Below are 14,523 nucleotides of genomic sequence, written 5' to 3' on the forward strand. Positions count from 1 at the left end.
ACCTGGGACACGTGGGGTCCCCCAGGACCCAAGGTTGGGAACAAAACTCCCTGCAGACAGTCAGTTAGGGGAAACTTAAGACATGCTGGAATCAGGGATCATGGATTTGGGACAAGAAAGAGATGGCATCAGAGTCCTACCTACAAAGTGTCCTGGTTATGGAACATTCAGCAAACGATTCCTGTCCTCAGCATTATCCAGAATTTTAGGTACTGATACCTAACACATATAATTGTCATGGACATAAGGGGACACACTCCACCTTCTTCATCCTCTTCCCATTCTCCTACACACCCCAAGGAACATTCATCTGAGACCCAACAGATTGGCTGCTCTCCTCTCCAATAACTATAACATGCGACATAAATGTGAGGCCCTAAGCACTTCAGGACTATTACCCACAAAACCTGGCCCTGACAAATAAAAATGCTTTTGACTGTTTGAGCCCAGGAGTTTGAGACCTGGCTGAGCAACATAGGAAGAGCCTGTATTTACAATATAAAAACATATAAACATTAGGCTGGGTGTGGTGGCTCATGCCTGTAATTCCAGCACTTTGGGATACCAAGGCAGGCAGATCACTTGAGGTCAGCAGGTCGAGGCCAGCCTGGCCAACATGGTGAAACCCTGTCCCTACTAAAAATACAAAATATATATATATATATTAGCCAGCATGGTGGTACATGCCTGTAATCCCAGCTACTCAGGAAGCTGAGGCAGGAGAATAACTTGAATCAAGGAAGCGGAGGTTGTAGTGAGCCGAAATCATGCCACTGCACTCCAGCCTAGATGACAGAGTGATACCCTGTCTCAAAAAAATAAATAAATAAATAAAAATAAAAATGAATTGGGCATGGTGGCATGCACCTGTAATCCCAGCTACTCGGGAGGCTAAGGTGAGAGGATCACTTGAGCCAAGGAGGTCAAGGCTGCAGTGAGCCATGATCATAGCACTGCACTCCAGCCTGGATGACAGAGTGAGACCTTGTCTCCAAAAATACTTTAGAAAGTATTGGTTCTGCTCTATCAAGATTCTCTTGAAGCAGGGTAGTAGGATGCCACAGCTCCTGAGCTTGAAGGAATTTGGTTGGCAGGGGGTCAGGGAGGGAGAATCATGTAAGAAAATGAGGGATGGAAACAAAGTTTGGTTAATGTATCAGGTTCGGGAGAATTGTGATAAAATATTCTGAGATGGTCAGAAAACCCTCTCTGGGGGAGGTGGCATTGAATAGAGCTATGAATGACAGTCTCATGTAGAAGAACCCCCTCATTCTCTCCTGTTCACCTTCACGTTACTCTGCTTTCTTTTTCTTCTCAGCACTCATTTCTCCGAGATACTGCAATACAGACTGATGTATGAATTCTCACTGCACCCCCAGTATTAGAATGGAAGCTCCATGAGGGAAAAGACATTGCCTTGTTCACTGCGGATTCCAGGTACCTAAACCAATTCCTGACACAAAGCAGTGGTTCAGTAAATATTTGCGAATAAGCAAATAAATGAATGGATCATGTAACCAGGACACTGACCAACTCTCTGGCTTGCACAACGCTAAGAAGAGACTTAAAGCTGATGGTTAAATCTTCTTGTGTCTGCTCATCACCAAAAGGACACCTCTTGTGTCCAGTGTCTGGAGGGAAAAATTCAAATTCAAATGCGGAACCTGCTTGCAAACATAGCATTGTCTGTGATGTGGTCCTGTGGAGTCAATCAAAAGTCCTGTTCAGACAGCTTTTTGCTGTGTTCATCCTATAAAATTTCAGACTGAAGCCTGACTGAAAAAAAAATGCTTAAGAGATGTTGGAGTCAACAAGATGTTGAATACCTCATGGCAGTGGTGAACTTGCTGTAAGCCTATGAGCAGAAGTTCAATCCAAGGATGGATGCACACCTATTAAGAATGCCTTGGGGCTCAGTGCGGTGGCTCACACCTGTAATCCCAGCGTTTTGGAGGCCAAGGTGGGTGGATCTGAGGTCAGAAGTTCAAGAACAGTCTGGCCAACATGGCAAAACCCTGTCTCTACTAAAAATACAAAAAGTAGCCGGGCGTGATGGCGGGCACCTGTAATCCCAGCTACTCCAGAGGCTGAGGCTTGAGCCTGGGAAGCAGAGGTTGCAGTGAGCCAAGATCATGCCACTGCATTCCAGCCTGGGCAACACAGTGAGTCTCTGTCTCAAACAAACACACACGAAAAAGAGTGCCTTGGAAAGAACTCCAAAATGAAAATGAGTGAGAGGTCAGAAATTAGAACCTAAGGTTCCTTATGACTTTGACATGTTACAATCTGTGGTAGGCAGAATAATGGCCCCATCAAAATGTTCACACCCTAAGCCTGGTCCTGGGATTCTGTTAACTCACATGACAAAAGGGACTTTGCAGGTGTGATTAAAATGTAAATCCTTGAAATGGGAGTTTGCCCTGGATTATCCAAGAGGGCCCCAAATTACTACTTAAATTCTTTAAAAAAAAAAAAAAGACTCTTCCTGGCTTTGATCAGAGTGAAAAATATGAAGTGTCAGAGTGATGCGACATTGTCAGCTTTAAAGATGGACAAAAGGGCCATGAGTCAAAGCACAAGGGTGGCCCCTAGAAGCTGGAAAACGCAAGGAAATGAATTCTGTACTTGAGCCTCTGATGTGGTTTAGCTGCGTCCCCACCCAAATCTTGAATTGTAGCTCCCATAATTTCCACGTGTCATGGGAGGGACCCAGTGGAGGGTAATTGAATCATGGGGGCAGGTCTTTCCCATGTTGTTCTCCTGATAGCATATAAGTCTCAGGAGATCTGATGGTTTTATAAAGGGCAGTTCCCCTGCACATGCTTTCTCTCTTGCCTGCCGCCATGTAAGATGTCCCTTTCCTCTTCCTTCATCTTCCGCCATGATTGTGTGGCCTCCCCAGCCATGTGGAACTGTGAGTCCATTAAACCTCTTTCCTCTGTAAACTACCCAGTCTTGGATATGTCTTTATTAGCAGCGTGAGAACAGACTAGTACAGCCTCCAAATGGAACACAGCCCTACTGGCAGTCTTAGTCCAGTGGTACCTGTGCCAGATTTCAACCAATAAAACTGCAAGATGATAAACTTGTATTGTTTAAGCCACTGAGTTTGTGGGAACTTGTTACAGCAGCAGTCGAAAACTAATACACAGTCTTATGATTTCTTGTCCCAAACAAGGCAACATTGTTTATCAGAAAATTCCTGATCCCAAGGTTATTCCACTTTTGACCTCCAGCATGATAAAAATGAGTGCCATGAAGGCTGGTCTTACCCTAAGCTGGCAAAGTAACTGAAGAGACCAGAAGAGAACATGTCAAGTTTTAGAAGGGGCATTCTGACCCAAGGGAGTTCAGTATTCAATTTAAATCCTAGAAAGTATGTTCTTCCATAGAATTAAATTTTAAAATTTAATTTAAATTTACAAATGAAATTTTTCAGAGCAAGAAGCCAAATTGGGCCACCCTTTTTCCTCCTTTTTAGATTGGTGAGATTCAAGTGACTCCCCTGCGTTCACAGCCCACACAGCCACATGTGTTGCTTAAGATAAGAAGATGGAAACATCATATCTGAGGTGGGGACTAGGCTGGAGGAATAAGCTTGCAGGAAAAGCCCATTAATTCCTCTGCAGAAAGCTGTCCTTCTATATTTCTTGAATCAGGACAACAGAATAATTCCACCTTCAGACTTTGAGGAAGGCAATACTATAAAAATCCATCAATTTCCAGGCCATATTTGTATGGGAAACTTATTTTTGTCCCAACTCCCATGCAACAGGCCTCAGCCTGTCCATTTTGGAACCACAGCAAATATTCAAACATGTTGAATTGGAAAAGGAATAATTGTCCTACCTTGTAACTCACTATGATTTAACGTATAAATGTAATATCCTTATATTATTTAATATCATCTGCATGTCTTCCATGTTGGGAAACCCAAGGCTACTTCATCAAACCTCCTGCAGCTTTCTCAGACTGGGACCCAAATTGAACTTCTCCTATTCAAGATCTCCAGCTTCTCCCCATTACTCACCCTCAGTCTTCTTCCTAGCAAAATGGCCTGAGTGTACACACATAGGGGCTGGGGAAAAATAGAATCCAGGCCCAGATCCAGTCTGAGGAAGTCCACCTAACGGTAATTTCCACATCCCCAAAATGTATCATCGGAATAGACATCCTTGGAACTTAGCAGATCTCCAGAGTGGCTCCTTGGACCTTTGGGCAAGAACCATCATGGTGCAGAAGGTCAAGTGGTAGTCTCTCAAGTTGTTCCTGCACCATCCAACATAGAAAATACGCATATGATGGAAGGGTGGTAGGTTCCATCATACCGCATTAATTCACCAGTCTGATTCCTACAAAAACAAGGTAGATCATGAAGGGTGACAGTAGACAACCTCGGTGAGATGCATGCCCTCCAGAGGGTGGCAGATAAGCCCTAAGAAATTTCAGAGACCCACCAAGTCAATGAAGTTTTTGAGGATCCAATGATCAAAGACATACCAGGGACCCGGTGGGGTGGTTCACGCCTGTAATCCCAGCAATTTGGGAGGCCAAAGAGGGCAGATCATTTGAGGCCAGAAGTTTGAGACCAGCCTGACCAACATGGTGAAACACCAACCATCTCTACAAAAAAAAGAAAAAATAGCCAGGTGTGACATAGCCTGTAGTCCCAACTAGTCAAGAGGCTGAGGCATGAGAATCACTTGAACCTGGAGCTGGAGGTTGCAGTAAGCCAAGATCATGCCAGTGCACTCCAGCCTGGGTGATAGAAAGAGATTCTGTCTCCAAAAAAAAAAAAAAAGTACATACCAGAACATCCCATCTGTAGGGAAGGACACCTCACATTTCACACTGCATCTCACATTTCACTTTGTCAGCTACACCTCTGTGGGTTCTGGAAGCAGCTATCCCACATTTCAGAATATTGCTGCTATCCATGTACTGAGTGACAGGAGTGTCTTCCATTGAAAGGGGCACCAATCAGGAGAGGTCTCTGCAACTTGACCAAGACCTGGTGAATTCCTCATGACCCAGCAGACACAGGGTCACTGAGGTGGAAAACGACTATCCAGAATTTATGCAGTAAGAAAGTATGCACCATATGCAAATAAACAAAACAACAACAACTCATGGTTTACTTGTGGGCCCTGGTAGAGACAGATTTTCCGCCCACGGAATGCCTAGTTACCACCCAGTTACCAACCAGTAGGAGCTTTCCATCATGAACTGGGTTTTGTCAGAGCCACCAAGTTATAAGGTCAGGTAGATCCAGAACTTATCCATTGTAATATGGAAGAATTTTATCTAGAATTGGCATGAGTAGGACCACAGGGCACAGGTAGGCTGCATGAGCTGGTAGCCCAGACCCCTATGACACCCACTACTGATCCAGCAGCACCTCCTTCCTCAGCTAACACCTGCGGAACCCTGGTGACCCCTCTAAGCAGCTGGTGGAGAAAGAAAAAGGCTAATCTTGGTTCTTAGCTCAGTGTGTGAATACAAGCTGCAAACAGACCCCTGCTGTGATATACAGTCCCACAGAGTCATGGCTTTGAAAGACAGTAGTTAGGGAAAAATTCTTCCCCATAGCCGACCTTCAGGTGGTGAATCTGGTAATTTACTCTGTATGGAAAAATAAGTGGGCTGACATAAGAATACATGTAGAGTCATGGGTAGTAGCAAATGGCTTGGCTGGTTGGTCAAGAGCCCTGGAAAAGGAACAGCTGGAAGACTGAAGACAAAGAGACCTGGGAAAGAGAGGATTATGGATGGGTCTATGAGAAGGCACAAGTGGGATGATCCTTGTATTACACAATAATGCCATTAGGGAGCAGTCATCATGGAAGAAGCAGTAAACAATCAAGTAGAAAGAATGACTCGGCCCGTTGATATGGGACTAATTTCTGTCATTGGTCATTGGGCTTGCACAATGGCCACATGAATGCAGCAAAGACCTGATAGCACAAACATTATGCATGGGCCCAGTAGCATGAACCCCTATTCCCTAAGACTTATCTAGTTCCTAGCACCACCAAATATCCAGCTTGCCAGCCACAGCGACCAATGTGTTAATCCCTAATGTGACTTCATACCAAAAGAAGGCTAACCATCCACTTGGGGGCAACTTGATTACACTGGATCCCTTCCATCTTGGAAAAGGTAGGGATTCAAATTGATAGGAATTCACATACTCTGGATTTAAGTTTGCCTTTCCTGGCCACAAGTCTTTAGCTAGCACTACTATCCAAGAGTTTACACCAATACTAGATCCCACACAATGTTGCATTGTAGTTAGGGAAGATGTAAGAGTTGAAATATGACCATGAGAGTGGAAATATGACCACGATAGAGCCACACTGGCTCTATCACTTATCCCAACAAAAAGAAAACTGCCAACTCGGTAGAGCAATAGAATGGCCCTTTGAAGATTCAGCTCGAGCACCAACTTGGGGATGATATCCTGGAAGAATAGGACATCCTTCTCCAGAACTCAGTGTAAACTCCAAAACAATGAAAATTGTATGTTTGTGCATCCCCAACAGGTGGAATACATGAGGTCAGGATCCAAAGGGTAGAAGCAGGAGCGGCCCCGCTTTCCATCCTTCCCACTGATCCATTTACAGAAGTAGTGCTTAGCATCCTGGTAACGCCAGGTGCTGTGCATCTAGAGGTTCTGAGTCCTGGACAAGGCACTCTTCCACCAGATAACTTGGCAAGAGTCCCATTATATTTTTAGCTACAGTTGTCATCTGTTCACTTAGGATTCTTATGCTGAGAATCTAGCAAGAAAGGAAAGGAGGAGATAGAGTTGTTGTTACATGATGGAGGCAGCCAGCTGATCCACTAGGGTACCCTTTGTCACTGGGGCCCTATCGTGAAAACAGAACGAATGCAACAGCCATGTCGAGAAGGGCATGGTGTCCAGAGCACCATACACTTTAGAGAGGAGGGCTTGGTCACTGCACCAGCTGAGCAGCTCAGACCAATAGAAGTGTCAGCCAAGGATAAGAAGCAAATAATGACATAAGAGTATATAGAGAATCGTGGGGAGTAGCAAATGGCCTGGCACTACAGAAAGCAGAGATGATGAGTAATAGATGTGACCCAAAGACCAGCTGCAGGGGTGGGATTGTGGTTTGTCCCAATGACACTCCTCTTATAAGTCTCCCCTGAAGAAAAGAAACAACCAAGATCCTGGAAGAGCTGCTTATAAAATTTATTATACGAAACAAGTAGTTCTACATAATGCAGGGGGCAGACTGTAGTGTTCTCTGTGTGCCACTAATTCCAGCTCCTGAGAGTCTTGGTGGCTGGCAGCTCTTAACTGAGTTCCCTCTTGAAAATTGTCCTTAGCTGAAGAGAACAGCCTTATTCAAGATTACATCTCCTCCCCAGGGGCAGCCACCATCCAATGACTGGTTGATGCACTGGGGATCTGGTGGTTTAAAGCCCCAAACTCCATGGCAGGACATTTCTGCAGAGCCATGCTAGCTCCAGCATGTACCATAGCATTTGTTGAGGCCTCTTCTGCAACTTTATGATGGTGCAACTTCTCCTTATGCCCAGTCTTGCTTTTCTGACTCTTCACAGCTGTTGCTCCTAAAAGCATCCCCCAGGGAACACTCTACACAAATTTCTGAGGCTCGGCATCTGATTTCTTGGAAACCTGACTTAGGATAAATACTTCTTTTAAAAGATGGATCTGTTTGTGTTGCCATATGTACACACACACACACACACACACACACACACATTCCAAAACCCTTCCTGTGTTCTGTTCCTCTGAGGACAAAGACCAAATGTCTTACCCTGGACCTTGGAGTCCTGTTTGGTCTGGCATCCACCAATATATCTCTGCAGCTCCTCTCCCCACACCACTTCCTTCCATGCTCTCTTTCCCACCTTGCACTGGCCTTCTTTGAGTTGCCTGGGTATGACAGGCTTTCTCCTGCCCCGGAGCCTTTGAACATTCTGATTCTTCTGTGTAGAAAGACCTCGTAATCTCTATTCTTTATCCAACCTTCAGACCAAATGTCTTCTTCAGAGAAGCCTTTGATCTTCCCCAGATTTGATCAGATTCTCTGTTATGTGGACTCATAACACTGTGTACTCTCATTCATAGCACTTACGAGTTTGAATTATTTGTTTGTGCCACTGGTGGATTAATGTCTATTTTGCTCACCATTATAGTTCTAGCATTTGTACCATGCCCCACTCCTAGCTGACAATAAATAGCTGTTAAATTAGTGACTAAGATGTTAATTCTCCTAACCCAGACTTAAACCCCTCAACACAAAAATACAGCCTTTTTCACCATACTCTGTCTTTTGTGGGTATTCTCCTTGCCTAGTGACTTAAAAGGTAGTTGCAGGGGCTAGGACACAGCAGGACCTCAATGAACCAGCCCTGAGTTTACATCTTAGGTAATTAACGCATCTATGTTTTCTCCTGTTAGACTGTGAGCTCCTTGAGAGAAGGCGTTCTCTCTTGCCTAAACCTCAAGCCAGGAGCTCAGCGAATGTTTATGGCTTTAAATCTTCAGGAAGTATGAATGTAAACATCTGGCTATTTTGAAGTGTGTAGGTGGTTTGGTTTTTACTTCTTCCAGAGAGTTTGCATCACACAGGCACACAAATTGCTAACATAGGGTGTTAGAGGTCCTAGGGTGCCAATCGGCTCATATTTACTAATCATAGTCTGTGCTCCATAGGACCAAGGAAGGAGTAGCTCTGAGGGAAGTGTGCCCCTGGTATTCGCCACTGTGCTAAATTCACAAGTGTGCCAGAGAGGTCTCAGAGCAGGAAAGCTGTCCAGTCACACAAATGCCGCAATGCACTCTAGTATAGGGCTGACAAGCTCAAATGCTTCTTAGGCTGAAGGTGAACAAGTGAGGGAGGATTTCGCCCAAAGCAGGCAGCAGGGACTTCACACTGGCTAGATGCTGCCATGCAAGATAGGAGCCCTGTGTTGCTAGATATTCTGATTTTTTCAAGAGAATCCAGAACTGGATTGCTGTGGAACTTGCCCAGCTTTATATTTGTCCTCAAGAAAGAAAGAAAGAAAGAGAGAGAGAGAGAGAGAGAGAAAGAAAGAAAGAAAGAAAGAAAGAAAGAAAGAAAGAAAGAAAGAAAGAAGGAAAGAAAGAAAGCAACAAAAGACATTGTGCTTTCCAAACAAAATACACCCAAACCAGAGCCAAGTTCATGGGAAGCTTTGGGTTGAAAGTCAGAATATGCAGTCTCTTCAAACTCACTGCAAGACCAGGCACGTCCCTAGAAAAGGTGTGCCTCAGTTTCCCCATCTGTCAACTGAGTCATTTGGGCCAGATATTCCAGCCGTCACATTGTGGGTATCCTTCTGGATGTGAGGTAGAAATCCTGCTCCCTGCCTGGCAATTCTCTCACCCCAAAACAAATCATTTTCATTTACAATTTGAAGCCAGTGACTAGAAAGGTATTTTGCCAGGATTTCCATTTCTTTCAAGGGCTAATTACAAAAGACAGGGGGGAAAGCTCTCACCATGCTCTCTTTCACATCTCATTACATTTATTCAGCTTTATTACTAATGCTTTGTTCATATAATTTTCACCCTGGGATCTACACTTTTGTGCAGTTACCCCAAGTCAGGGAACCCGCCTTAACTCCAGAGGTCTTCATCACCTCCTCTGGTGTTCTTAGGATTTTAAAGTGACAATCTTTGTGTTCAGAAAAGCTTTCTGAGCAGAGTGTTTTTCAAGAGCATGCTGTCCTGCCCAAGGATGAGGCTGCCATCTAAGGTGGTCCAAGGGACGCCTGGGGACTTGCTCCCACCATCACCAAGTCCCTGTCTCAATCCGGGATGCACAGACGCTCCTGGGGTGGCCTGCGTTTTGGAGGCTGCCCAGGAGGAGCCGGAGGAAATAGATGGCTTCCAGAGTCATCCTACCCCGAATCTGGACTAGAAGCTATCGTGTTCTCCTGAAACTGTCCAGCCCCTTCCACAGATCGTCACACACCTTCTCCAGCACACCACCCCCGGCCACCTCCACGTGTTAGTGGGCAAAGCCAAGGCTCTGATTTTGGAAGCTCGTCTCGGATTGCTTCACATGGATTCAGGAAACAAGTCCCAAAAGAAGCCAAAAGGAAAACTACAGGAAATGTGCACACCACTCACCATGAAATACCAACCCAAAGGACAAACTCGGTAATCCCACCAATGTTGTCCCAAACCCGTGATGGCTAGCAGCCGACAAATACCCGCAGACCTCAATCCATTTTTATTGTATTCAGGCCTCAGTGTTGTATTTCCTGCCTCCCCTTAGCACCACACATACAGTGTACTTGAAAACAAAAATCTATAATATTGATCCCGCAATGTCACCACAATTATTCTTTTGAAACAGCCATTGAAAACAAATTACATCTGCACTGCCTTTTCATCCGCCCGCTGCGAGTGAGCAATGCTCACTGCGGTCTCCAGCACTGTGGCGTTGGCACTGTGTCACCGCCGACAGGACAGCCCAGGGAAAGGTGGCTGGGGGGGGGGGGTTCAGAATGAAAACCAGAGCGAAGGGCCGATTTAGGAGGGCACAGGGTCTCTGCCTGGCCAGGCAGCTCAGGAGGGGTCTGGATCCAGGATGGCTGCAAACTCGGTCAATCTGAGAAATTCTAGGTCTTCATATAGGGCTACTGTCAGGGCACAAGGACTCCCCAGTAGACCAAATGCGGTAGTTGGGATGATTAAATCAACAAAGATTTAGCCAAGGCCTTTCGGATACTCGCTTTAAAATCTAATGACAGTAAGTGTTAATTGAAGCAACATGGTCGTCATCTGAGAGCTCGTAATTCTACCGACAAATTAAACCTCCTTAAATAGACCATTGAGCTCAAAGCAGGAGAGATGCCCATGGTCCTAGCTGTCTGCCACCCCCAATTCCAACTGACTTCAAGGTGACCCTCCTGAAGAAGGCCATGTTGTCCTTTTCTTCCAGCAAGCTGCATCTCCAGAGCATCCAGAGGTAGCAGAGACCTCACCAGTCGCCTGCCATCCTGCCACAGAGCTGAGGATTGGCACAAATGTGGTGCCCCAGACCCCAGCAAGATCCCTGATCCCAGCTGTAACACACCAGCCAGTTGCCCTGAGAATGTCTGTGGTTGGGGGCCTGCTTGTTTGTTTTAGATTGTCATACTTGGAAAAATTCTCTCTGTGCAATAATTAAATTCCATGCCACCGAGTGGTGGGCAAAGGGAAATTCTTTTGTTAAGGTTTGACCACACAAGTCACAGCGGTGGCTCTAGCAGCCGGGAAGTGATAACTTTGGAGCATTAAAAAAACCAATAGCCTTGTTGACATGGACATGGGAACCTAACCCCTGAAGCCTCCTGGTATGACGCATTGATTTTCCTGTCCGTGTACAGTTCTAAAGCCATCCATTCTGTATGGTCAGGACTCAAAGGGCCAGAGAGAGGGAAAAAATCTGTTCTTGCCGCTGTACCTCCAGGCAAAGTTGAGAAATAAATTCTACATTTTGAGAGATGATTTGTTCAAGCCATGTTTAAGAGAATATGATTGCATTAAAAAAGGGAAAAAATATTTTGTTACCCTGACCCCCGTAACCTGTAGCCACTGATCCTCATGCAAAATCTAGATGCCATGGACAGCACAGTGTAGAGGGAGGATGGTGGTGGAAGGGCTGAAGAGGGCGTCAGGAACTGGGGTGCTTTTTTTATAATTCTCCAAATAATATCACCAAGCTGCCGGATAATTTCTCAGATAATCCTAGCATGTCCACCTGTCATTGCTCCGACCCTCTGCTACTGTTGTTTTGCAAGAATGCTTCTCCTTTTTGTTCAAGGGTCCCTTGAGAAATTGCCACATTCCCTGCTTGCTTTCCAAGCCTCTCTTTTTTGCAGCTAAAACAGGCCAGGCAGCTCACTCTTCAGGGTCTGCCTGAGAGGCACCCCGACCTGCTGTCCCCATGCCATGGCAGCCAGACAGGACAAGGCTCCCCAGAGAGCCTTCCAGCCCCTCCTCCCTTCTTCTGTGCACCATGGAGTCCTCATTCAACATGTCTCTATGTGACCAAAACCCCTCCCTGTTCTCAGTAGTGATGGGGAGAGGGATGCTGGGTGAAGGAGAGAGAGAGAGCCCAGGCTATGGGGAAATTTGCTGAGACACCGCAGGGGATTCCATGTGCGGTTGGCTTCGCATGTTCAGTACTTTTTGAGTGTTTAGCTATTTTAGTTCCAAATAAAGAAACCTTCAGTGCCGGTCAGGAGGTAGAGCTCACAGAAGTAGAAGACTACTGTTTGAGCTGCAAATTTGCAGTGTCGTTCTGCAAAGTATTACATACATCATTTCCTGGTGCAGAGGAATATTGAGCTATTTCAGTGAAGCCAAAAAGGAAAGACCAAAATCATGCAATTTTCCTGACCTAGACAGAACTACGGACGGAATACAGAAATAGCAAATGCTAAAATGAATGTTCTTACAAGATCTGTCTATATAAACATAGAATCCACATATCCCAAGTGTATGCAATGTGAACTCAACATCAGCATGCATGCACACTAGTTAAAGTCATAAACCCAGTCACACAAAACATTCCTACCAGATGATTCCATCTTGCCAGACCTATAGGAGTATTCCTAAATTAGGTTGGTGTGAATGTGTTTGTATATTTATTATTAAAATACTTACTGTTCTGCCTTTTGAAGTAGATGGACAAATGATTTAGGAGTGTAAATAGACTAGAAACAAAATTAATGCAAATAATGTGTTGATTTTTTTTTAGCTTGATTAGCCAAGCCAATGGAAAATTCTAGAAAACGTATACAATTATTTTAACTGTCACAGGCTGGCAATTGTAATTGACATGATTTGTACGAGATGCAGTGTAATAACTGAATATATTAAAAAAAAATCTCATGCCTTGATTACCAGGAGAACATTACTAGTGCCACAATATTATTAACAACACAATTATCGTGGCATCCCCAGGATACGCTCTTAGCACTTCAATGCATTAGTGAACCTTTGCTAACGAAGAAAAAATTAAAGTACAGCAAATTTCAAAGCACCAGTTGTACCCAATATCATTAAAAATTTATAAAACTTCCCCTGAACATGACAAGTGTTTGGTTTAAATGAAGATCAGCCACAAGGAGAAAGCAGAAATCTTGTTATTCTTTGTCTCCTTTCTTAGCCTCCCTCTCTCCCTCTCTCTTTTCCCCAAACCTCCCCCAACCAGCACCACCTCAATCCAGCTGAAATATGTAACCATTACAGAGTGACAGCTTGACACACAATGACCCGTCAGAACATTCATCTCGCAATGTTTTATTTTAGTGAGGAGCCAAACTGCAGAAAAAATAAGCAAGTTGTTTCAAGGCTTGGAAGGAGATCAAACATTTCTGGCATCCCCACTTACCAGACCTTTGATTTACAATGGACTTGTCAGAGCCCGATTAGACAGTGTGTGCTTAAAAACCTACAGAGGCTCCTCCATGCCCCAGCCCACCACCATTTCCCCCACCAACAGCATGCCTTTGTTCCCCGGAACCAGCAAGGCAGGCTAAACAGAGACTTTGCACCCTTGCAAGAGGACCAGGGACCACGTAAAAGCCAAATAGGCTGCAATTAAATTCTTCTTGCCAAGGTGAAAAAAGAAAGAGAGGGTCAGAGATGTGGGGGAGACAGGCACAGAGAGAGGCAAGAGAAAGGAGAGAAAAAGAGAGGATGAGAGGAGAGAAAAGGGATGAAGGGAGAGGAGAAGGTACAAGCTGAGTTCCTTCTGCTAGTCTCTTTACCTCTCCTTCCAAGTCAAAAGTTATCATCTTCCCCAAAAAAAAAAAAAAAAATACCCTGCCATTCCTACCACCAGTGAGCTTTCTCAACCTTATTCAAACGAGAACACTCAGCTTACAAAAAAAATGAATTGGACCAAAAGTGCAGGTGTGTAAAATATGTTCACGGTATTACGATTTTTGCTAGTAATTACAACTATGAAAATGGCTGGAAATATATTGTTTCAATTTGTATGGAGAACAATTGCAGGGAGAGAGAGAGCAGTGTGATCTGTGCCTGGCATTGGAATGTATAATTCCTTAACCCTATATGGCAGCATGGGGCTTGCTGGAGCAAATTATGAATACATGTGTTTGGAGAGTCTGAATAGTAAATTTGGGTTTTGCACATCCATAACAATGCAATCTGACAAGTGTGATTTATGGAATATTAAGTTAATACAGTATTATGAAATTAGCTTAATGTACTAAAGCTGTAATTTTAAAGTGAAAAACAATGCAACCAGATGTAAACAATATCAACATTAGCATTTTGTGAAAGCTGAAACCAACTCACTCAAAATGCGTCTGTAGAGTCATGGAGTTACCTCGCCCAACCAGGCCCAAGTTGTTGAAAGTTTCAGACACCAGAATAAAATTCCCTACTCAGTAGGTACAGCTGCTTTCTCTCCACCCAAAGCCTGCTGTGCCCGCTGCAATATTATTAACCACACCACCCCCACCCCTTGGGGGAAATCA

At 44.6% G+C, this 14,523-nt stretch overlaps 1 long non-coding RNA gene across 20 annotated transcripts in view, besides 1 other annotated feature; it reads right to left on the bottom strand.

The window, feature by feature from the left end:
* The window catches only part of LINC01837 (long intergenic non-protein coding RNA 1837), a 234,720-nt gene that overhangs the window by 111,989 nt on the left and 108,208 nt on the right, over window positions 1-14,523 (bottom strand). The gene's annotated exons all lie outside the window — the stretch shown is intronic.
* Window positions 12,427-13,620: an enhancer, noted in NCBI's record as "VISTA enhancer hs536". NCBI's record gives its function as "enhancer in: other[6/7]" and the evidence as "EXISTENCE:transgenic organism evidence [ECO:0001131][PMID:17130149]".

The sequence above is a fragment of the Homo sapiens genome, chromosome 19 (assembly GCF_000001405.40).
Source record: "Homo sapiens chromosome 19, GRCh38.p14 Primary Assembly".
Taxonomy (NCBI): Eukaryota; Metazoa; Chordata; class Mammalia; order Primates; family Hominidae; genus Homo; species Homo sapiens.